At 52.1% G+C, this 25,458-nt stretch overlaps 3 annotated features.

The window, feature by feature from the left end:
* Positions 5,374-5,668: an enhancer, noted in NCBI's record as "tiled region #4966; K562 Activating DNase matched - State 8:EnhW". NCBI's record gives its function as "activates a minimal TATA promoter and a strong SV40 promoter by Sharpr-MPRA in K562 cells {active_cell/tissue: K562}" and the evidence as "EXISTENCE:reporter gene assay evidence [ECO:0000049][PMID:27701403]".
* Positions 7,022-7,522: an enhancer, noted in NCBI's record as "H3K4me1 hESC enhancer chr20:48841235-48841735 (GRCh37/hg19 assembly coordinates)". NCBI's record gives its function as "activates a minimal SCP1, AML or CMV promoter by ChIP-STARR-seq in primed H9 embryonic stem cells {active_cell/tissue: H9 hESC(primed)}" and the evidence as "EXISTENCE:reporter gene assay evidence [ECO:0000049][PMID:30033119]".
* Positions 7,523-8,023: an enhancer, noted in NCBI's record as "H3K4me1 hESC enhancer chr20:48840734-48841234 (GRCh37/hg19 assembly coordinates)". NCBI's record gives its function as "activates a minimal SCP1, AML or CMV promoter by ChIP-STARR-seq in primed H9 embryonic stem cells {active_cell/tissue: H9 hESC(primed)}" and the evidence as "EXISTENCE:reporter gene assay evidence [ECO:0000049][PMID:30033119]".

Below are 25,458 nucleotides of genomic sequence, written 5' to 3'. Positions count from 1 at the left end.
CTGCCTGTCTGTAGAATATGTTCCTACCCGTGTCTCAAATCCTTCCTTGGGCCTCAGTTTCTCCCTTTGAATAGTGGACGGGCACTCCCAACTCAAGTGGTGATGATGATTTAAATCCCACAAACAGAGAAAGAAGGCCCTGAGCACCTACTGTGTGCTGGGGGGCAGGGGCCGGCCTCCAGGAGGCACCTGCCATGGGCATTTTGCATAAGATGTCCGGCTGCTCCTGAGGCCTCTGGAGCACCAAAGCCTGTGTTCAGGTCCCAGTTCCGCTCCTTAGGATGTCTTGGCCTCTCTGGGCCTCAGTTTCCTCATCTACAAAATAGGGTTGATAATAATACCTACCTCATGGAATCGTTGTGAGGATTAAATTCATTGATACCTGTAAGGTAAGGAAACAAGGACTGGACCAGAATAAGTGCTCAATTTCTGGTCATTTTTATGGTTAATTTCCTAAACTCTCTCCTTAAGCTCCCCACCTGTCTGCTCCCCACCAGCCCCCTAGCGCTGGATTTCTCGGCTCTGTCCCTACACAATAAGTCCAGTCTCACCTCTGAGCTCTATGCGTCCCCCAGCAGCCAGGAAGGTGTTTAAAATGACACTTCTCTGCTCAGTACTGCAGTGTCTCCCCCTGTCCAGGCCAGGTCCTCCCTGGGGGATTGTGCCTGTCCCCCGGCCACACTTACACCATCCTCATTCTCCACTCCTCCCTCCAGCTGGAGCAACCTCTGGGTCTCAGAGGGTTCCATCCACCCTGCCTCGGCCACTTTGCACGTGCTGTTCCCTCTGCCCAGGACACCCTTCCTCCCACTGTTCTGCCTGCGCTGACTCTTCCTTCTGTGGGGAACCATCTGGGGCTTTCTGGGGCTGCCACAGACTGCTCATGCGGTGCCCTGTGTTTCCCATATGACAGCACCAGCTGAAAGGACATGTCAGGGTCCCCAGCTAAACTGGGAACACCTGGAGGCTAACTCCTTCTCTGCAAGGCTTGGAGGCTGTCTGGGGAAGGCAGGTGGCAATCACAGTGGGGGTCTACTGTGAGTCGAGAGAGTTGAGGTGAGTCGAGTGAATACACTTAACTTAAACTGACTTTAGCCAGGTGCAGTGGCTCAAGCCTGTAATCCCAGCACTGTGGGAGGAGGCCAAGGCAGGAGAATCACTTGAGGCTAGGAGTTTGAGACCAGCCTGGACAACATAGTGAGACCCTATCCCTACAACAAATAAAATTTGAAAATTAACCAGGCATGGTGGCATGTACCTGTAGTCCCAGCTACTCAAGAAGCTGAGGCAAGAGGATTCCTTGAGCCCGGGAAGTCGAGGCTGCAGTGAGCTATGTTCTTGCCATTGTACTCCAACCTGGGTGACAGAGCAAGACCCTATCTCTAAAAAGGTAACAAATAAATAAAAACTTGGCCAGGTGCGTTGGCTCACGCCTGTAATCCCAACACTTTGGGAGCCCAAGGTGGACAGATCACCTGAGGCTGGGAGTTCGAGACCAGCCTGACTAACATGGAGAAACCCTGTCTCTACTAAAAATACAAAATTAGCCGGGCGTGGTGGCACATGCCTGTAATCCCAGCTACTCGGGAGGCTGAGGCAGGAGAATCACTTGAACCTGGGAGGCGGAGGTTGCAGTGAGCCTAGATCGAGCCATTGCCCTTCAGCCTGGGCAACAAGAGCGAAACTCCATCTCAAAAAAAAAAAAAAAAAAAAACTTGTAAAAGTTGAGATGAGGTGTGTTGAGGAGCTGGGTGGAGCTGAGCTGAGCATTCAACAGAGCAGGATTGACTTGAGCTGAGCTGAGGTGGGTGGGATTGCAGTGAGTGGCGCTGAGCTGAAGTAAACTGAGGTGAACTGAGGTCAGCTGAGCTGAGCGGAGGTGAGGTGAGTTAAGCAGAGTTAGTTGGGTTGAGTTGAGTCAGGTAGAGGTGAGTTTTCACCTGAACTGCGCTCTGCTGAGTGGAGGGGCGCAGGGCTGATGTCAGTCGTGCTGATGAGCTGGGTTGTGTCAAACTGAGCAAAGGAGGGTTGAGTGGAGACACATTAAGCTGAGTCGAGTTCAACTAAACACAATGAGTGGAGTTCTGTTGAGTTGAATTCAGTTGAGGTATTGCGTGGATTCAAATCAAGTTAAGGTGAGTTTATTTTTATTTATTTATTTATTTATTTTTGAGATGGAGTCTCGCTCTGTCACCCAGGCTGGAGTGCAGTGGAGCCACCTCTGCTCACTGCAACCTCCGCCTCCTGAGTTCAAGCGATTCTCCTGCCTCAGCCTCCCGAGTAGCTGGGATTACAGGCACCTGCCACCACACCCAGCTAATTTTTGTATTTTTAGTAGAGACAGGGTTTCACCATGCTGGCCAGGCTGGTCTTGAACTCCTGACCTCAAATGATCCACCTGCCTCGGCCTCCCAAAGTGCTGGGATTACAGGCATGAGCCACCGCACCCGGCCTATCTTCGCTTTATACATAAAAAAATTAAGATGTTTTTTACCCCATAAGAATTAATTTCCACCCCTGTGGGGGCAATGTCACCTCCACACACACACACCCAAATGCCCGAGAGAATGCCTAAGTCAGGCTGAGCAGAGGCAAGGAGAGGGATCCGTCTACAAAAAGGATCTGTTTTGACTTCCTGGAGGAGGCAGTCTCTGGCGTGGATTGTGATTACCACAAGGCTGAGGCCCAGGCCAAGGCCAGCCCAACCTCAGTTGGAGTTCTCCTTCCACCACGCCCTGTTTCCTTCTCCCCTCCTCCAGCCCCATTTCCTCACCTGTGAAATGAGATATAGTAACAGAAGAAACAACAAACGTACAGGCCCTGAAGCAGGTACCAGCTCGGCATATTGACTTTAGCTGAGGGAGGTTCCTGTGGTTGGAGGGGTGAAAGGGAGAGGAGGGGCGGTCAGTGGAGCTCCATCACGTCAAATCTTGCGGGACACGGGCAGGAGTTGAAGTCTATCCTGAGGACAATGGGGAGCTATGGGAGGATTCTGAGCAGGAGAAGGACGTGACGTGCATAAATGAAGCCTCTGGATGGACCCTGAATGGACTCCCCAGGGGCCCAGGACAGTGCACCTAGATGGCCGAGCTAATTGTCCATGCTCTGGCCACAGGGGGCAGAATCTGAGGCTCATGTTCACAGCCTCCTTTGTGGGAGACAGAACATCTGCCTCATACAGCAGAAAATTCTCCACACATAGGAAGGAGGTTCGGATTCTGGACAGTTGGAAGAAATGCCTCAAAACGCCCAACAGTAACAAGAAATAAACAATTGGACAGAGTGCTGTGGGGCTGGTTGGATAGAGGGAAAAAGGCCCAGGCCAGGCCTCTTGGGGTCTGCCCCAACCCCAAGACCCCAAGCCACCTCCCATACATACAAAGCCATGCCCTGGTCCCCAGTCTGGGGTGGCGGGCCCTGAACACTGCTGGGTCCCAGAACCTCATGCCAAGAGTTGCCTTCTTCACGGTATGTGTCACCTGCTTTCATTAACCACTAAAAGGGTGTTCCAGGCAGGGTGTGGAGGCTCACGCCTGTAATCCCAGCACTGTGGGAGGCCGAGGCAGGAGGATCACTGATCGAGACCAGCCCAGGCAGCATAGCAAGACCCTGTCTCTACAAAAAATTAAATTAAAAATTAGCCAGGCGGATGATGCAGTCTTGTCGTCCCAAGCTACTCGGGAGGCTGAGGTGGGAGGATCACTTGAGCCCAGGAAGTTGAGGAGGCAGTGAGCTGTGGTTGCGCCACTGCACTCCAGCCTGGGTGACAGAGTAAGACCCTCTTAAAAAAAAAGGCTGTTCCAGCAGCATGCACAGTGACACTCAAGGGGCCCCATGGGACACCCTCAACCCAGAGATTTCCCCTTTTGGAAAGACAAGCTCTACGGACAAGCAGACCCAGGTGCCCACCTAGGCTAGTGATGTCGCCTCTCTGAAACTGTTTCCTTACCGTGAAAGGGCCAGAGCCTTCCCCACCTTTCAATGGAAGAAAGTCACCTTCCCACCCAGGATGTCGGGGTGGCCTAACACTGGTCTTCAGAGTCACAAAGATCCTGATTTTATTCCCACTGTCCACACACCTGTTAGGTACCAGGAACCAAACTGGGTACTTTACATCTAGAGCTCTATATAATCCTCACGGCAGCCCATGGGGGCAGAGCCAGGACTCAGACCCAGGTCTGCCTGATATACAAACCCTTGCCTTAACCACTGGGCCATAGACCAGTGGATGCCAACCACTCCTTAGCGAGTGCCTACCGTGTGCCCAGCACTGTGCTGAGCAATCTACAGGAATTTCATGCCTCATCCTCACCACAAACCTCATGAAGTGAAACCATCTCCAAGTCCAGGTGAGAACACTGAGGCTCAAACAGGCGAGGAGCTTGCTCAAGAACAGGGAGATGCAGAACACTGAAATGTACACCCAGGTCTGTCTGAAGCTAAAATTCCAGTGCTTTCTACTATGCCACTAGTAAGAATGAAAATAGCTAGCATGTATTGTGCACCAGCTATATGCCTGGCCCTGCTCTATATACTTCATCTGCATCATCTCTCAGTCATCACCACACCCTGTGAGGGGGATGTAAATATTATCATCTCCATTTTCTTTTCTTTTTTTTTTTTTTTTTTTGAGACAGAGTCTTAGTCTGTCACCCAGGCTGGACTGCAGTGGCGTGATCTCGGCTCACTGCAACCTCTGCCTCCTGGGTTCAAGTGATTCTTGTGCCTCAGCCACCCGAGAAGCTGGGACTACAGGTGTGTACCACCATGCCCAGCTAATTTTTGTATTTAGTAGAGATGGGGTTTCACCATATTGGCCAGGCTGGTCTCGAACTCCTGGCCTCAGGTGATCTGGCCACCTCAGCCTTCCAAAGTGCTGGGATTACAGGCGTGAGCCACCATGCCCAGCCAATCATCTCCATTTTCAAAATGAGGAAACTGAGGTTCAGAGAGGGACATGAACCTGACCAAGTTCACACAGTGGGAAAGGTGCAGAGCTGAGATTCAAGCCCAGGGTAGCTGGCCCCAGCACCCATGTCCTTCATCTCCCATCTACAAACCTGGCTCCAGACACACCTCCTCCATGAAGCCTCTCAAGACTCATCCCTGTCTCTGCCACCCCATCCCCGCCTCTGCCACCCCATCCCCATTACTGCACATCCCCATAGGCTTTTCCATGTTTGTGTTTGCCATGGGCTGCAAGCAACGTCATTCCCAGAATATTTACTTTGACCTCCCCTAGTCTACCCACCAGCCTATACCCAGACAAGGGGCCCTGGACCAGCCAGAGCCCTGCCTGCTCCCTGATGATTAATTAAACCCCCAACCTTGACCATGTCTGCCATCCAGGCCTCGTGCTCAGTGACCTCAGCCTGGCGTGGTGAGAGTGGGAGGGATGGGGAAGCGGTGGAGACGGTTCTGTGGGATGGTGGGGTCTCCCCTGCCACCCACCTGCTCCCTAGGAGGAGCTTTAGCAATCAGAAAAGGCAGTGGTTTTACCAAGAAAAGGAGGAAGAAAACACAGGCAGAGGGCAAGAAGCTCATGGCATGAGTGACTCAACACCCAGTGGGCGGGGGGAGAACTGGAGGGTGGACTCCAAGGAGCTTCTGGCCTAAGGCGGGGTCGGCAGCCCAGGACGGGGGCCAGTGGCAGAAGGACCCAGGAAGGAGCTTGGCAGGGAAGAGGGATGCACGTGATTCGAACATCTGTGTGCCGGCTCAGACCTCCCTGCCACCCCCAGCAGCCCTGAGAGGCAAGGGGCCGCATTCCCATTAAATGGAGCAAAACACTGAGGCTCAGAAAGCAAAGTGACTTGCCCCAGGTCACACGGCATCTAAGTGGTGGAGCAGGCATTGGAACCCATGTCAATGGCTCAGAGAAGGAGTTAAAAACACAGACTTTATAGTCAGACCTGGATTCCAAGCCAGGCTCTTCCACTTGTAACCATGTGACCTTGAGCATGTCACCACTCCCTGGCCTCAGTTTCTCTGTCTGCACAATGGGCATAGCCACATGCCAACCTCATAGATCTTTGAGTGGACTCTATGAGCAGCACAGAGACTGTCTTAAATCAGAGAGGGCCATTGTGGGACTGATAGCATGGGCCCAGCTGGAATGACCCCATTACCAGGGGGTTCAATTCCTTGCAGAATCGATGTTCCAGCCATAAAACTTCTTCTTATTTTGAACTAAATAAAACCTGCCTCTCCTGGGGACCATCCAGACTGGCCTTGGAAGACCTCCCTGCCCTGTAAGGTGGAATGAGGCCTCTGACATTGCACAGAGTGTTCATTCTCTTGAAAAGCCCTTGCTGAGCTCCTACTGTGTGCAAAGCAGTGGTCTAGGCACTGAGGACACAGAAGTAAACAAGACCGACAAGGTCCCTGTTATCATAGGGCTGATGTTCTAAGGAGAGGAAACAAACATTACATGTGTAAACCCCTAAGAAACATAACAATTAGATAATCATTTGTTGAGGAAATCTAAGTATCAGAAGCATCTAAACAACAGAGAACATGTAGAATATATTTTTCTGATTTTTTTTTTTTTGAGACAGAATCTTGTTCTGTTGCCCAGGCTGGAGTGCAATGGCACGATCTCCACTCACTGCAACCTCCACCTCCGGGGTGCAAGTGATTCTCCTGCCTCAGCCTCCTGAGTAGCTGGGATTACAGGTGCCTGCCACCATGCCCAGCTAATTTTTGTATTTTTAGTAGAGACAGGGTTTCGCTATGTTGGCCAGGCTGGTCTTGAACTCATGACCCAGGTGATCCACCCACCTCGGCTTCCCAAAATGCTGGGATTACAAGTGTGAGCCACTGTGTCTGGCCTGATCATCTGTTTTTTACATGACACCATTATATAAATCAGATGATGTTCTTTCCTGGTTTAAAACCCTCTCATGGCTCCCACTGTCTTCTAGATCAAATATAAATGCCTTAATACACCACTAAGGGTCTGTATGTTCCAAGTCCCGTGGATCTATCTGACCTCACCCCTTCACCCATTCTACTCCAGCCACATGGGCCTCCTCAGTGTTCCTTGGACATGCCAAGATCTTTTAGTCCTCATAGCCATCGCACATGTTGTTCTTCCACCTGATGCTCTTCCTCACACTCTCCAACTGGACAACGCCCCCTCAAGACAGTCCCATCTGGGTCCTGTCTTGCCTATCAGCTTGGCTCATTTGGCATTCTTCCCTGAGTCCCTGCGAAAATCCACGCAAAATGGAAAGAAAAATAGTCAGGAAAGATCATGAGTCATTTGTTTACAGGCACTAATTAATTGCTAAGCTCGAAAACTTGATTTCCATTCTTCCTTTTTTCCCCTCTCTGCCCTTTGAGAATGTTTGGAATCCACATTGTTTCCCAATGCAAAAAGTATGTCAGTTTATTTTTAGCAAATGCACATGATGGCTGGGACTGTTATTCATCCCCCCGCGTCAGTGGGGAGCTGGCCACGGAGCATGTGGGCTGCTTGATGCTCTTCAGATGTGGCTCCTGGAAGGCCAGCTGGTCTGCAATGGCCCAAGCTGGGTCCAGCATTGAGGCACTGGGGACAGAGGTTCCAGGCTGCACTTTCTCCTCCGGGCCAGGGGTGGTGCAGTGGAGTGGGAGGCAAGAGGACAAACACTTCCTCCCAGACTGGCTGAGCAAAGCCCTTTCTCCTGGACTAGTAGGTGGGCAGCTTGGGTATTTCAGCATCTTGCCCTCCACTTCTTGTCTTAGAAGGACCTAATTGATTCACCCTTGGTTCAACCAGGATGGGAAAGTCCCCATGCTCTGTCTAGCTGATGCCACTGTGCCTTCTCTGTTCCCCTCCTGTCCCCCACCACCCCCACCTGCGACCCCTCTGAGCCCACCTTGCTCATCCTTCCTGCTCTCTGGGAGCCCAGGTAGGAGATTAGGGACATCCCCCTCTAGTAAGAACACTTGCCAAGAGCTTCCTTCCAAGATGGCTGCTTCCACTCCCCTTGCACCTTTCAGAGTCCATTCTCTGGCCTGGATGGGGCCCAGAAGCTATGGGGAATCTGCTTCCACCTACTCTGAGGGATCATAAAGGACCTGTCTCTAACAGATCCTATTGCCTCCAGCAATAAGGGTGGATGGTATGCCTGTGGAACAACAGACTGTCACCCCCCAGAAGGCAAGAACTATATCTGTTGTGGTCTTTGTCTCCAGGGCTTAGTACACAGTGGGAGCTCAATAAAGACCTGTTGAATGATTGTGACCTGAGTTCCAGCTCGCTGTGCAATGACCATTGTCACTTGCCTCTTCTGAGCCTCACTGTCCCATCTTGCCAAGGGGTAACTGATTGTTAAAGCCCAGAGCAGGGATTGCAAACTCAACTGCCTACAAGATCGGGCAGGGACATAAAAGTGAAACTGGCAGGAGACAACTGTGGTCATGTCCTGTCTAGAGGGGACAGCCACTCCCCAGCCCCAGCACCCAGGACTATGAACCCGAGTCCCTGCATCTTCCCATTTCCCAAGAGAAGCCGGGAATCTGGATGTTTGTGTACGACATTCTGATTTTTCATAGTTGGCAACTCATTTTAACTTGCAGCAAAAGCACCATGCAGGCCAAACCCAACACATCTCGAGGCCGGCCCGGCCCACAGGCCGCCGGTTTGAGCCCTTGGTGGTTGGCGTTTGTGGCTTACCAGGCCTTGGAGCAGGCCTGTCACGCCCAAGACTGGGACAGGAGGTTGGGATGAAGAAGGCAGAACCAGCCTCGCCCCATGTGGGAGTAGCTATTATCCCAGCTTATGGGAGGGCCAGGCCGGACTCGTCGGTGCTGGGACTGCAAGCATCGCCTGCAGAGCTTGCCTTCCACTTAATTAAGGAAGCCGATAGTCATCTAGGTGGAGCGTGGAGATAGGTCGAGAATGAATTAGCAAACTGCAGCCAGCCGATTGTATCTATTGTACAAAACCCAGATATAATATCAGATTAGGACACTTTGTGTGCGTATTATAACACCATATCATTATGGGATGTGTTATAATTAAGGCCCAAGTGGGTCCCCATCTCCCCCGTGACTTCGCAGGTCCGAGCACAGCATCTCCTCCTAACACCCTCCCAGCCAGAACTAGCCCGGCAGATGGGGCATCCGATGCAAACCCTGATCAACCTGCCATGAAACACTTCCCATGGGGTGCCGGGTCCTGCACTGGACACTCAGGGGGATGACAGTGGGGCCAACAGAGGACACCCTGTTCTCAGAGAGCTCCATTCTCGGGGGAGGAGGGGCCCATGAAAAATACAGAAGCAAAACAAGTTGAGACTGTGGGAAGTGTGGGGCGAGGGGACTGGAGAGCATGGGTGTGGGTTGGGCAGTCGGAGCTACTTGACAGGGTGGTCAGGGAAGCCGTCTCCACAGCAGCCTGTTCTGGGCACCAGCCTCGAGCCATCAGCCAGAGAAAGGACACTTGTGATGTTTGCTGAAGCATCATCTGGGCCAACAGCCACCCCTCCTGCGCGCCCATTCACTGATTGAACAAATCTCTGTGGAGCCCCTACTGTGTGCGGGGCCCTGTGCTGAGTGCTCAGAAAGCATCGTGATCACCACAGACAGCAGTCCCTGCAGTGTGGAAGGTGACATACTAAAGAGATAGACAGGCATTGACCAAACAAATAACAGATGTATAACATGATGGCAAGTAGGGAAGAAAGATGAAAGGGCTGGAGTGATGGTGGAGGTGACAGTTCAGCAGGTAGCCGGGGAAGGCTTCCCTGAGGAGGTGACATTGCGATGAGATCTGAATAAAGTGGCACATCCAGCTGGGGGAAAGAGCTGAAGGAACTGCATTCCAGGCAGCAGGAACAGCAAGTGCAAAGGCCCTAGTTAGGTCATGCCCAGTGTGTTGGAGGAATAGCAAGGGGCCCGGTGTGGCTGGAGTGAGTGAGCAAGTAAGAAAGGAGGGAGGATGAGGTCAGAAAGGCCATGGGGGCCAGATCAGACAGGGCCCTGTGATCCTGGGAAAGACCTCAGGTTTTGCTCTGCAGCTGGAGCCAAGGAAGGTTCTAAACAGAGGAAAGATGGGATCTGAGTGGGGTTCTAACAGCATCCCTTTGGCTGCACGGGGGAAGTGGGGCGTGACGATGACAGCAGTGAAAGCAGCAAGGAGGCTACTGCAGGAGAGAGAATGGTGGCCTTGAATTCAGCTGTGGAAGCGGAGGGGAAAACCTACGCAGGTTCTGGATGTTTTAAAGGTGGCGCTGACAGGATTTCCTGGCCAGTTATCGAATGCAGGGCAAGAGAGGAAATGAAGGGACAACCCGAGGTTTGGGCCTGAGCACCCAGAAGGATGGAGCTGCCATTTCCTAAGAATCAGGGACTATGACGGCCCCAGTGCTGGGGTCTGTCGTCCGCATTCCCTGCAAGCTCCCTGCTGACCCCCACCCCATTCTCTCTCGGGTCAGGGCCATGGAGGGAGAGAGTGAGCAGTCGGCCCTACCCAGGCTTCCGGGCAGGAAAGAGGCACCCAGGGCCTGGCCACAGGATGACACAACCCTTAATAATTTCTCCGCTGAGTTTTGCAATGGGCACCCTTTATCGACAGGCAAAGGGTGAGGGATTTTGCAACTGCCCCAACTGGTGGTTGTAGCTGATGTCAGGCCAGAGGGCTATCAGGCCAGGCTATGGGCATCTTCTCAACCCATGAGGATTGAGTCGCAAACAGGCCATCCAGGCCTGAGCCATCGTGGGTGGTATAGAGGGCCTCAGGGCCCACAGGGTTCAAACCTCAGACCCTCCACCTGGCCAATGACTTTGGGCAAGTCCCTTCCCCTCCCTGGACCTCAGCTCTTTCCCTTAAAAAAAAAATAAAAAAAATAAGGAGAGCCATTAAAGGAATTATTTTAAATTACTTAAAAGCTTGTATCCAATGGCCCGGTTAACGTTCATCCAGTGCTTCCTGTGTACCCGGCCCTGTGCTAAGAACCCTCTGGCAGCACCTCATCCGATCCCCATGTCACCCTTAAACTTATTTCCCCACTTTACAAATGGGGAAACTGATGCTTAGGAGGAGGAAATGACTGCCTAGGTCCCCCAGCCTGTCAGGGATGGAGCGGGGACTCGGACCCAGACCTTTCCGACCCCAAAGCCTACACCCCGTTGTTAGGAAGTCGCTGCCACGCTGAGATGTAGTTTCCTCGTTTGTAAATGGGAAGTCCAAACTAAATAGAAATTAAGCAGCACCACCCTGGTGGGGTTGGTGCCTGGCACCTGGGGAGCATTCAAACCCAGCAGCCATTCTTATGACCAGAACACTCGTCACTGGCACACAGAGCTGGCGGCCAGCACCACCCCTAAGGGTACCCCCATGCCCCACCCTCACCCCTCCTGGCCCCACACTGGCCCTGTGGGGCACAGACAGGACACAGGCTTTAGAAACATGCACTCCGTGGTCCAGATCCCCCTTCCACCCTCTCGCCATGCCCCTGGGCACTGCCTCCCCCTTCCACTGGGGGTGACAATTCCCTTCCACCACACAAGGCTGTTTCTGGGTCACAGGAGGCCACAGGTCCATGTTAGGCCCAGTGTGTGGACACAGCTCCATTTGACACAGGAGGATCCAAGGCCCAGTCTGGAAAAGGGGCTTGCCTGGGACTTTCAGCCAAAGAGAACGAGGTGCGGTCACCACGCCCACTGGAAGAGGGCCTCTGCCTGCTCCAGGCCTGATGCAAAAGCTTGCCCGGCAAAGCCTCTGTCTCTGGGTCTCTCCCCTCTTTATTTCTCAGCCTCTCTCTTTCCCTCTGTGTCTCTCACATCAGTTCTTTCAGGGTGTCTCTCTGTGTCTCTCCATCTCACCCCCATGTCTCCCTGTCTCACTATCTGTACCTCTGGCCTAGGTGGTGTCTTCCCCACACACTCATCTGCTGGGCTCACCACCTCCTCTGCATTCCTGGCTCTGTAAATGTTTACTGAGGTGAAGGTGTCTGGCCGCCTCATTTGCTTGAAACCCTCACCCAGCACCGCCCCCTTCTCACCTCCACCACCCAAGGGCTCCCCAGGGAGGAAGGACAGGTGGGGGACCCACAGCCCTAGGAATAGTCAAAATGACCCAAGTTCAGGGGTCTGCGCTCGTAGGCAGCCAGATCCCCGCTCAGTGGGTGTGGGTGGACTCCACCCACGACATTCGAGGCACAGATGCTGATTAGGTCCCCTTCCCCACTTGCAGCAATTGGCAGAGGCTGGACATGGAATGCATCTGTGGCCAGTGAGATGGGGAAGTCTGCCAAGGGGCTTCTGGGAATGGTTTCTTCATTCTTAACAGGACATGTGAGGGCCTTTCCTGCTTGGCTGTATGAGGAAGAGATGGCAGGAGCTTTGGCAGCCATCGTGGCACCATGAGGAGCTGGGCTGAGTGGAGACGGCAGAACCATGAGATAGGAAGAAACTGGGGCCTTGATAGTGCCCAGCTCTGACTCACCCAGCTATGATTCATTCAGTCATTCAACAAATATGGATTGAGCACCTACTATGTGCCAAGCCCACGATGGGCGCTGGGAACACAGAAGGAACATGATCCCTGCCTTACATTCTGGGGTGGGGGACAGATTTCAATCAAATAATCATCCAAGCAAGTGTAAAAACACAGCCATAGTCAGGGCTGCAAGGAGAGATCCATGGAGAAGAGACCAGAAAGGGGGACAGGGAGGGCAGGGAAGGCATCTTAGGTCAGGTTGCCCAGAAGAGGAGCCTGACTTGGGGACTGGCATGCACGTGATTCACTGAGGACATGCTTTTGGGAGAAGGGTGCGAGAAGCAGGACAGGGCAAGGTGGGAGCTAAGCCAGGATATGGCCTCCGCTGAGTCTCACTTGGCCTGATCCCCCGGGGAGCTCTGGAACGTGAATTGCACCACCACACTCCTCCCACCTCAAAGTAAGAGGCCTGAGTCCTGGTCTCATTGGTCACTGGCTGTGTCCACCTCTGTTTGGGGGATGGGAGGCAGCTCCTGCTCAGCGAGGCAGGACTCCAGCTTTAAGGGGCCCCAGCTGGGAGCCCACAGCAGCCAACACTGTGTGGCAGCAGGAAGATGCATGCAGATCCCACCAAAGAGGCTCTGGGGAATCCCCACAGCACCTGCTACCAGAGGTCCACCTGATCTGAGATCTGGCATTAACTAGGTGAAGAGGAGAAACGAAAGTGTTCCAGTAGAGAAAGCAAAGTGTGCCAAGGCCCTGTGGCAGGTGGGAGCTGGGTGCAATGGAAAGAAAACCAAGGTGGCTCTAGCAGGGCAAGTGACAGTGAGAGTGGCCAGAGATCAGGGGAGGGGGCCGCCACTGTGCAGCACCTGTGGGTCTGGATAAGGAGGCCAATCTTTATTCTGAAGGCAGTAGGAGCCCTGGAGGCTGTGGAGCAGGGGAGGAGCGTGACCCAGCTCATGTTTTTTTGTTTGTTTGTTTGTTTAGATAAGTTCTCGCTCTGTCCCCCAGGCTGGAGTGCAGTGGCACAATCTCGGCTCACTGCAACCTCTGCCTCCTGGGTTCAAGCAATTCTCATGCCTCAGCCTCCCAAGTAGCTGGGATTACAGGCGTGTGCCATCACACCCATCTAATTCTTGTAGTTTTAATAGAGATGGGGTTTCACCATCTTGGCCAGGCTGGTCTCGAACTCCTGGCCTCAGGTGATCTGCCTGCCTCAGCCTCCCGAAGTGTTGGGATTACAGGCATGAGCCACTGCGCTCAGCCAGCCCGTGTTTCTTAGACTCTGTCTGGCAGCATGTGGAGAATAGATGTAGGGCTGAGACTAAGAGCAGGAGAGCAGTCGGAGGCTGCTGCACTCACTCGGGTTAATCACCCAGGCCAGGTGGGGCAGGAGGCACAGAGAGGTGGAGACAGGGTGAGACAAGACTTTAGGAGGCAATAATAGTGGCAGTGATCAATTGCCTTCTGTGAGCTCAGGACAGTATCCCCGTGAAGTAGAAACTCTTATTGTACCTGCTTCACAAGAAGGAAACTGAGGCACCATGGGATCAGTGCCCTAGAAACGGCTCAAGGCCTCACTTGCCAACTCTTTCCACCATGCTACGAGGACACTTCCACACCTGCCTCATTGGGCCCCAGGACACTGGTAAACCTCAGGCATTCAGGGAACTTGGGGCAGGTCAGTCACCCTGGACTGTCTGTGCCCCCCAGCTGGGGACACGTGGGGATCCCCTCATGTGTCACCAACCACTTTCTCACTTCACCCCCCCTTGAGAAGCACTGTTATTTTTCCTCCAAGGTCTCCCAACCAGAGACCCCATTTCTACCCAGTTTTTTGCTTTCCCATGTGGGGTGGGACCCTACTCTGTGTGACCTGGAGACCCAGAGAGAGACAAGGACTTCCCTGAGGCCACCTAGCGCGTCCCTAGCACGGGCACTTGCAGCTGAGGCAAGGCCACCTTGGACCAATGCTGTTATCTGCAGCTGAAGACAAGAGGCACAGTGGGACACTTAGGGACCCTGAGGCGGCGGCCTGTGGTCCCAGCCCTGCGTGGAGACGTGGGCCATGCCCAGCCAGGAGATAATCTCAACCAGATTCTGGCCAGTGATTCCTTGCGACATCACAGCCAGGGCCACCTGGTGGAGTCTCAAGACGCAGGAGCTTATGGGGCTGGGGCTGGGGCTGGGGCAGTGGGAGGGGCACAGGGGAAGCCCAGGGCTCAGTAGGGTCCCTTCATAACGTAGAAGGAGTCCACACTGCAAGAAATGTCCAGTCCACTTCCTTGGTGGTCAGTAGCTCACTGGTGGAGTACCTGCTGCATGTCAGGTCCTAGGGGACACCACGGTGACTAAGCAGACCCGGAGTCTGCCCTCATGGAGCTGCCACTCCATGGGTGGAGGAAGCAGACATTGAATGAGGAATGCCACTATGAGAACAGAGAGCGCTGAGCCCTGGGAAGCAGGGGGTGGGAGCTACGTGGTGCATCCAGGGAGACCAGGCAAGCCAGGAATCAGGGGCCTCCCCAGTGAGGTGATGTATAGCTGAGGCCTGAGAGCTCTTGGATGAGGGGGCATGCTGGGGGACACAGCATATGCAAAGGTTCTGAGGTGGGCCAAGTATGGAATGTTCCAGAAATAGAAATAAGTCAGAGTGATGAGGCAGGATCAAGAGCTCATCACCAGCCTCCCCTAGGCTGAGGAGAGGCAGGTGGATTTCAGTTTAAGGGCCATGGGGAGCCACTGAAGGCTTCAGGCAGGGGCTGGGGTGGACATGGTCAGAATGGAGTCCAGTGGGTCACTTTGGCTGCTACACAGGATGGCCTGGAGAGGACTGAGAGACTGCAAGCCCTAAGACCCAAAGATCCAGGCTTCCTAAATCTCCCACTCCAATACTCAGGGTTCTAGGAGCCAGCAGACCTACTGGGCCAATCCCAGGCACCCTCATGGCCCCCAGGCTGCCTGCCCCAACCAGGACCTCCTAAGGAACATTCCAAGCTGCGATTATCTCGGTGCCTAACACTAATTAGCTCGACTGCACTTTAGACCCTCCCAGCTCTGCTCTGGGAGGGCCCCCTGGAGAGGCAGCTGCCAGGTTCACATCCCCAGGGAGGCCTGGAGGGGCAAGAAGTGAGAGGCCCCGGAGGATTCCCAGGAGCACTCAGACCTGCAGCTGGAGCTCAGAGGTGTGGGAGATGTCCTGATGGGGGGGCTCCAGCTCCCTGCACCCCTGTCCCATGGTCAGTGGGTGCATGGACATCCCCACCCCACCCCCCAGTGCCCCCATGCCTCGTCCAGTCCCAGGCACCTGGCCAGAGGCAACCTTGCCCCCACCCCCACCCGAGCTCCACTGCCCCCTTCCTCCTGACTCTGAATCTTTGTCTCTCTCAGCCTGAATCTCTGCTTCTGAATGTCTCCCTCTGTCTCTTTCCTTTCTTGTCTCTCCCTTTCTCTGTATCGCCCTCGTTACCTGTCTCTTTCTCTTTCTCTCTCTCTCTCTCTCTGGTCCCAGCCTCCCAGGGGCGTGGGGTGGGAGTGAGTGTCCCCACAGCCTCCAGGCTGGGGAGTGAAGATGGTGCCTGCACAGACTGCTCCCAACCTGCCGGTTTTTCCAGCTCAGCCCCACCCTGGACCGGGCCACCCCCTCCCCGGGGACCCACCCTCCCTGGGCCAAGTGGGGCTGCTAGAAGGTGAGGCCTGACCAGGAGCCTCCTGGGAAACAGAAGCCAAAACAGGAGCAGAGTGTCTGGGCCCTGCACGCCAGCCCAGCCCCACACTGCAAACACAGCCCCATTTACACACGGGGAAACCAGGCTCAAAGAGTGCTCACCACCGGCTTAGGGGTAGCCACGCTGCTGATCACAGGCAGAATTTGAACCTAGGACTCCGGCAGGGATTCAGAAAATGCCATCATTCTCCCTCCCACCCCCAGCCCCCCAGTTTCCCTCCCCAGGGACCACCCTGGTCTCAGATTCTTGTGTGTTCTTCCAGAATTGTCCACGAATACCCACACTTCTCTTCTTGCATGTATGTTTTAACACAAGTGGTGAAACAATAGGCACCGTTTGCACCTGCTGTTTCATGTAAGGATGTCTTGGAGATCGTGTCTTATCAGAACCTTTTCCCTTATTTGTAATGCCTGCAGGATCCCCCAAGGAGTGGAGCGGACTGGCCTCATGGCACTTAACCGGCCCCACTCATGAACACTGCAGTTGTTTCCAGTCTTGTTTTAATACATAAAATCTCACATTAAACACAGAAAGTGTCCTTGCAACCATCCACCCACCCCATGTCCCCTACATGCATGCAAACGTGCTCACACACATGCACACACGCACTCACATGGTGCTGCTGAACTATAGGATCCAGCAGTCCTAGAAGGTGTCGGTGAATCTTAACCAGAAATAAGTTCAGAACGATGAGGCAGGCTTGTTAACAGTGCAGATTTCTGGGACTGCTCCAAACCACTGGAAGCAGAGGCTTCACTGGAGGAACCCTGGAGAGGAAAGACTCAGAGGAGGAAGCTGTGGCAAAATGGTGAACAGTCAGGCTAAGTGTTCAAGCTGTGCCCCTGGCTTGCAGGACTCCCGGGGGCTGCCCAGGGCTGGGCCCTGCCCCCCATCTCCTCTGCAGCTCCCTTTCACTCTGTTCTTGCAGTGAGGCTTCAGAAACATCCAGGGATTGAATAAAAGGGGATCTATCCAATACAATAAAAGGAATAATGAAGTTGAAAAACCAATAATGGGGAAGCAGAGGCAAAGAGCAACAATAGAACAAGTCCAGGTTTCCACAGACCTTGTTATTACTCAGTAGCAAGACTGGACTCGAACCCCCATCTTCTAACTCTTGGGCCAGAAGTTTTCTACTGAATTCTACCCCACCCTGGTCCAGGCTCCTGTCAGCTACTGGTCCATTTATCTATCCACCCACCCAATTTTCCACCCACCCACCTACCCACCCATCCATCTCTCCTCCATCTCAGTGCTGCTCACATCACCACCCAGCCATCCAACCATCCATCCGTCTACCCATCTCTCTGCTCGTAGACAAAATCACCCACCCTTCACCCTCCATCCAGTAGTCACTGAGCACCTGCTATGTGCCCAGTGCCATTCTAAGAGCTGAGGACACAGCCACCCATACAACAGATGGGTTCCTGTCCAGGGAACTTAGCACCTATGGGAGAGACAGACCACAGATTGTAATCACACATAAACAGAGCCCAAATGGGGGTCCTGCCTGTGGACCACACACAGAGATTGAGGGGAGCTGGTGGGGAGCCCGGAAAGGCCTGCCCTCCCAGTCGGGACACTGTGTGCCTGCCCCCAACCAGTTCCTCCTCCCATTCGCCTGCCCACCACCTCCCCACCTCCAGCTCATCTGAGGTCACTGAGCCCTCCATGGGGCGAGTCCCAAGTAGGCAGGTCCCCTCAGGTATCACCCAACCCACCAGGAATCCCATTAAAACTTAGCAGGTCACTCCAGCCAGGTGTGGTGGCTCATATCTGTAATCCCAGCACTTCGGAAGGTCAAGGCAGGAGGATCGATCACTTGAGCCCAGGAGGTAGAGGCTTCAATGTGCTATGATTGTGCCTCTGCACTCCAGCCTAAGTGACATAGCAAGGCCCTGTGTCAAAAAAAAAGCTTAGCGGTCACTCATCCAAAACCCACACATACTCTGCTACTTATTGAGTGCTTACTGTGTACCAGACCACAGGCTGCATACTTTCCACCAACTGCTTCATTTTGTTCTCTCCTCCCCTTGGCCGACATCACCCACCCTGTAACCCTAGGAGGAAGAAGTCAGGCATATCCCCGCCCTGCTCAGAACCCCACCCACCCCTGCCACACACACACACCACCTCCCAGCTCCCATCCTACTTCTCTCCCCATCACTCACAATGGCACCTCCCCTACTGGCCTCCTTGCGGTCCCTTGAACATAGACAGCATGGTCCCATCTCAGAGCCTTTGCACTTGCCATGCCATTCCCTCTTTCCCCAGAGACCTCATGGCTCCCCCGCCCCACCCCACCCAATAGCACCTTCCCTCAGCCAGGCATTCCCTGACCTCTGTGGTTAAGTGAAACATCCTTCTCTTCCTCACACTCACGCACTCTCTCTCTGATTCTCTCCCTCTTGCATGCACACACACAAACACACACACACTCTCCTCTCCCTCCCCTTCTTTATTTTCCTCCCTAGCACTCATCATCGGACCACCTGTATCCCCCACCCCAATAATGGACCCGCCATGAAGGTGGGGCTTGGGGCCGCCTTATTCTCTTCTGTATCCCCGGGCTTAGCACAGCACCTGGTGTGTGGTGTGTGCTCATCAAAGTCATTCCTGGAGCACATCTTTGAGAGTCTTTTGTGTGCCAGGCTGTGAGTTGCAGACACAGCACAGAACAAGATGGAAACATCGTGGCAAGTAGGATCAGAGGCCCTGGGTCTAGGAACCTTACCCAGCCACTTCCCGGTTGTGGAACCTCAGGAAAATATCGGAGGCCTGAGGGGTAGCTGATCCCACCGGCCAGCTAGACCCTCCCAACATCCTTGTGACATCCACAGTGTGATAATTCTCTGGAAAGTGCTGGGCTCAGTGCGTGTTGCTACCTTATGGTTGATTGTCCATGCTCTTACCGGTTTCACAAGCAAACTCCAATTGACCAAAAATCACCCCAGTGGAACCCCTCAATTAACCAAATTGGGGTTTGGGGGAGGAGGGTTTTTTTTGTTTTTCTTCCCCTTTGCTTCCGTCAGTCCATTTACTAGCTGTTTATTTACCGGGCACCAAGTGTGTGAACATCATGGAGTCCCCGCTTACAGAAAGGTCTCAGAGTCAAGGAAAGAGATGGACTAGAAATATGGGGCAGAGGCAAAGTCACAGGAGACGTCCTTATCAAGTGGGAAGACCTTGCCACCTTCCAAAGGAGGAAACTGGCAAACGCACCATGTGGACGGCTCTCAAGAACATCACGGAAGGACAGGAACAAGTCCCATTGAGATGGCTGGTGTGAGGTCGCCAAGGCATTAAAAAGAACGATCATCCGGAAATGCAAATGAAACCACAATGAGATATTACTACACACATGGCCAAATAGCTCATATTAAAAAGACTGACCTCTCCAGGTGTACTCAGAATCAAGGGATGGGGCCAGGCATGGTGGCTTACGCCTGTAATCCCAGCACTTTGGGAGGCTGAGGCAGGCAGATCACTTGAAGTCAGGAGTTCGAGACCAGCCCGGATACCTGGCAAAACCCCATCTCTTCTAAAAATACAACAACAAAAAAATTAGCCGGGTGTGGTGACACACACCTGTAGTCCCAGGTACTCAGAAGGCTGAGGCAGGAGAATCGCTTGAACCCAGGAGGCGGAGGTTGCAGTGAGCTGAGATGGTGCCACCTCACTCCAGCCTGAGCAACAGAGTAAGACTCCATCTGAAAAAAAAAAAAAAAAAAAAAAAAGGAGCGAGATGGGCCAGAAATATGGAGGACAGCAGTAGCGAAATGCTTTGGAAACTGTTTGGAAATATGCAGAAACTCAACACACGTGAATGATGTGTCCAGTGATGATGCCTCGGGTATAAACTTGATAGAAACAAGAGCTGGCATCCACCAAATGACACAAACAAGAGCTGGGTGCAGTGGCTCATAGCCATGATCCCAGCTACTCGGGAGGCTGAGATGAGAGGATCACTTGAGCCCAGGAGTTCAAGGCTGCAGTGAGCTGTGATAGCACCAATGCACTCCAGCCTTGGCAACAAAGCAGGATCCCAACTCGTAAAATAAAATAAAAAAAAGAAAAAGAAAAAAGACACAAAGAAGAATGTCCATGGCAGCTTTATTCACAACAACCAAAACCTTGAAATAACCCAACTGTCTACCAACAGTAGACTGGACTATGGTATAGTCACACAGTGGACAGTGGAACACAACACAGTAGTGAGAATGAAGCTGTACAGTACTGCATAGAGGAACTTTAAAAGTTTAACTGAGCAAAAGAAGCCAGACACAAAAGCAAATACTCTGAATGATTCCATTGATATGAAGTTGTAGAACAGGCAAAACAATGTAATCTGTTAGAAGTCAGGAGAGCAGTTGTCCTAGACAGAAACATTTTTCAGTGATTAAAAATGTTTGTTCTGTTTCAGGCCAGGTGTGGTAGTTCACACCTGTAATACCAGCACTTTGGGAGGCCAAGGCAGGTGGATCATCTGAAGTTAGGAGTTCAAGACCAGCCTGGCCAACATGGTGAAACCCTGTCTCTACTAAAAATACAAAAATTAGCCGGGCAGTAGTGGTGCACACCTGTAATCCCAGCTACTCAGGGGGCTGAGGCAGGAGAATCGCTTGAGCCTGCGAGACAGAGGTTGTGGTGAGCCGAGATCTCGCCACTGCACTCCAGTCTACAGTGACAGAGTGAGACCCTGTCTCAAAAAAAAAAAAAAAGTTCTGCTTTTTTATCCAAGTGCTGCTCACACTGGTGTGTTCAGGTGGTAAAAATGTATCTTCTGTACCCTGCTTAGACTTCTGTAAAAGTTCACATTTTAAAAGATATAACAGAAAGAAAGGAAGGAAGGAAAAGCCACATTCACACAGAGATGAAAGAAATGCATACACAAAGATCTGGAAGTTCAAACCCCAAAATTATAAAACCACGCTGACAGAGTGAAAAGGAGCCAGCCCTGGCCAGATGGTCCAGAACTGACTTCAGCTTGATTGGAAATGTTATCATGTGTTAAGAGAATGGATACCTGTATTACTATTATCAATTTAAATCAAAATTTCTTAGTAAAAAGGCAAAAAGACAGCCAGCCACGGTGGTTCACGCCTATAATCCCAGCACTTTGGGATCAAGCAGGAGGATCACTTGAGCCCAGGGGTTTGAGGCTGCAAAGAGCTATGATTGTGCCACTGTACTCCAGCCTGGGCAACATAGCAAGACTCAGTCTCTTTATTTATTTATTTATTTATTTATTAAGTTCCGGGGTACATGAGCAGGATGTGCAGGTTTGTTACATAGGTAAACATGTGCCATGGTGGTTTGCTGCACCCATCAACCCATCACCTGGGTTGGATGTATTAGCTCTTTCCTCTAATGCCCTGTCTCCTTGTGTCTTAAAAAATTTTTTTAATAAAAAAAATTTAGGGCAAAAAGAGAGGCCAGCCAGGGAATCAAAGAGCAAGTTGTAGCTACTGAGAACCTCCTCTGTGCTCCAGGGGCACACACGTAGGCATGCCTAGCCCTTACTTGCCCAAGTTTCCCACTGATAGAATCTGAGGGCCAGAAGACCAAGGTTCACCCATTGTTTCTCTGTGGCCTGGCACAATGCACTTCCTCCCGTTTCCCAGGTAAGGAAACTGAGGTCAGTGAGGTTAACGATGAGGACAACTGCCCTCAAAGAGTGTTCCTGAGCACTCAGGAGACAACTCAGGTGAAAGTACTAGGTGACCATGCCGGATGCCACAGTACAGCCAGGACTGGCCACATCAAGATGCAGGGCCCTCGTTCACAAATCATTAAGAATTTCAAGGCCAGGTGCGGCAGCTCATGCTTGTAATACCAACACTGTGGGAGAGTAAGGCAGGAGGGTTGTTTGAGCCCAAGAGTTTAAGACCAACCAGAGCAACATAGAGAGACTCCTCCCTACTCCAATATCTACAAAAAATAAAATTTTAAAAATTACCAGGGCTGGGGGCAGTGGCTCATGCCTCCAACCCCTGAGCTTTGGGAAGCTGAGGCGGGCGGACTGCCTGAGGTCAGGAGTTCGAGGTCAGCCTGGCCAACATGGTGAAACCCCGTCTCTACTAAAAGTATAAAAAATTAGCCAGGCGTGGTGGCAGGCGCCTGTAATCCCAGCTACTTGGGAGGCTAAGACAGGAGAATCACTTGAACCCAGGAGGCGGAGGTTGCAGTGAGCCAAGACCGTGCCATTGCACTCCAGCCTGGGCAAGAACAAAACTCCGTCTCAAAATAAATAAATAAATAAAAATAAAAATTGCTGCGCACAGTGGCTCATGCCTGTAACCCAACACTCTGGGAGGCCGAGGTGGGCAGATTATTTGACGTCAGGAGTTCAAGACGCAGCCTGGCCAACATGGTGAAACCCCATCTATACTAAAGATATAAAAATTGGCCAGGCATGGTGGCTCACGCCTGTAATCCCAGCACTTTGGGAGGACAAGGCGGGTGGATCATAAGGTCAAGAGATCAAGACCATCCTGGCCAATACGGTGAAACCCTGTCTCTACTAAAAATACAAAAATTAGCTGGGCATGGTGGCACTCACCTGTAGTCCCAGCTACTCAGGAGGCTGAGGCAGGAGAATCACTTAGAACCTGGGAGGTGGAGTTTGCAGTGAGCCGAGATCTTGCCACTGCACTCCAGCCTGGTGACAGAGTGAGACTCTGTCTCAAAAAAAAACAAAAAAAAAAAAAAAAAAAAAATATATATATATATATATATATATATATATATATATATATATATATGTATAAAATTAGCCAGGCGTGGTGATGGGTGTCTGAAATCCCAGCTATTCAGGAGGCAAGAGAATCGCTTGAGCCCAGGAGGCAGAGGTTGCAGTGAGCAGAGATGGCGCCACTGCACTCCAGCCCGGGCAACAGAGTGAGACTCTGTCTCAAAAAATAAAAATAAAAATAAATAAAAATTACCCGGGCATGGTGGCATGTGCATGTAATCCCAGATAATCAGGAGGCTGAGGCGGGAGGATCACTTGAGCTTGGGAGGTTGAGGCTGCAGTGAGTCATGATCACACCACTGCACTCCAGCCTGGACAACAGAGCAAGACTCTATCTAAAAAAAAGAAGAGAGAGAGAATTTCAAGATGACAACAGCAGACCTGTAAACCAAGTGGGGGCCCTTCCAAACAAGGGGCTCTGTGGAATTGCCTAGATGGTACTCCCATGAAGCCACCCTGGTTCTACCCTAGCTTACCAAGAGCTTTCACAAAAACCAGCATAGAAAGTTTTCTGATAACCTTCAGGCAGTCAGAAAGCTCCTTTCTCTAGAACTTTCCATTCCATGCCAGCTGTTTTCACATGTTGGTGTTTGTAAGGCCTTAGAGCAACAGGGGCTCCCCTCTCCCAAGGAGCAATAACATCAACAACAGCAATAGCAGCTGCCATTATTGGACAATTAGCACATGCCGGCATGGTGTTGAGTTCTGCACACTTTTGACTCCTCGACTCTGCTCACCAATGCTATTAAGTAAATGCTGTCATAGGCAGGCTCTGAAAGTGGAAACGGAGGTACAAAGTAGGCCACTCACCCCAGGTTGCAGAGCCAGAAAGAAGAAGAACTGGGATTCACACCCAACCCTGCAGGGCTCCAGAGTCCACACGCTGGCCCAGGAAGGAAGGCAAAGGCCGGCGGGAGGTGGACGGAGGGTGGCAGAGCCACCCTAGGCCAGGGAGGGAAGGCTCCAGGGATGGGAGCCACCCTTTGCTCCACTGACTCCCCTCCCGACTTGGAGCTGTGAGCTCTGAGCTGCAATGGTCTTTGCCAAGCAGTCATTTCGCCATCCCCTGCCAGACCCTAGGGACCTCTGGGAGCACAGCAGAGCTGTCCAGCCCGGAGAGTCCAGGCCAGAGCACTGGGTAAGGAGCACACTCTGGGGTTCCTCAGACCCAGGTTCAAATCCTGCCTCTGCCACCCACCAGCTGTGTGACCTCAGACAAGGTACACTCCCCCTCTGAGCTCCTGGGTCTTTTTTGGCTTTTCTTTTTGAACCTCAGGTGTGCAGGGTGACGTTATCTGATGCCTCAATTCGCAACATGTTATCATGATTGCCCACACAGGCTGCCCTCTAGTTGTATTCATTTATTCCCTTTCACCCCAATCCCTACTCCCTGCCCACCTGACTCTCCTATGTTCAATGTGCAGCATGAGTTCATTGATTTTAGGTTTCTACTTTGATGCTGGCGTTTAACATATGTACAGTAAAGCGCATAAACAGACAGCTCAATGAACTCTTCTTTGTTGTTGTTGTTGTTGTTGTTGTTGTTGAGACAGGGTCTTGCTCTGTCACTCAGGCTGGAGTGCAGTGCCACAACCATGGCTCACTACAGCCTTGACTTCCTGGGTTCAAGCGATCCTCCCACCTCAGCCTCCTGAGTAACTGGGACTACAGGTGTATACCACCATATCTAGCTAATATTATTTATTTTTTGTAGAGACTGTGTCTCCCTACATTGCCCAGGCTGGTCTGGAACTCCTGGGCTCAAGTGATCCTCCCACCTCGGCCTCCCAAAGTGCTGGGGTTACAGGTGTGAGCCACTATGCCTGGCCTGAATTCTTATATATGGATAAATTCATGGAACTACCACCTGGGGTAAAACATAGGAATTTTGCAGATCCCAGAAGTCTTCCTCATGTCCCACTGCAGGCAATGACTCCTCTACCCCACAGAAGGAACCACTTTTGTGCCTTCTAGATTCATCTTACCTGTTCTTGAACTTCATATCAGAGGAATCACACAGAAAGTCGTCTTTTGTGTCTGGCTTCTTTCCCTCAGCATAATGCTTTTAACATTAATCTATAGTGTGCATGGGCTGGGCATGGTGGCTCATGCCTGGAGGGTTTGGGGATAAAGTGATGTCATGTCTACAGCTGCCTCTCAAATAATTCAGGCAAAAGAAAAAAATACAAATGGGGGAAAAGACAAAGTGGGGAAAAATATAAACAATATAGCTGAAGGATATCCTGAAGTTTCTTTTCTTTTTTTGGGACAGAGTCTTGCTCTGTCACCCAGGCTGGAGTGCAGTGGCGTGATCTCGGCTCATGCGACCTCCGCCTCCTGGGTTCAACCCATTCTCCTGCCTCAGCCTCCCAAGTAGCTGGGATTACAGGTGCGTGCCTCCACACCCAGCTAATTTTTGTATTTTTAGTAGAGACGGGGTTTTGCCATGTTGGCCAGTCTGGTCTCAAACTCCTGACCTCCAGTGATCCACCTGCCTTGGCCTCTCAAAGTGCTGGGATTACAGGCGTGAGCCACCAACCCTG

This window comes from Homo sapiens, chromosome 20 (genome assembly GCF_000001405.40).
Source record: "Homo sapiens chromosome 20, GRCh38.p14 Primary Assembly".
NCBI classification, from domain to species: domain Eukaryota; kingdom Metazoa; phylum Chordata; class Mammalia; order Primates; family Hominidae; genus Homo; species Homo sapiens.
The sequence above is the reverse complement of the archived record's forward strand: the minus strand, read 5'-3'. Positions and strand labels throughout refer to the sequence as shown.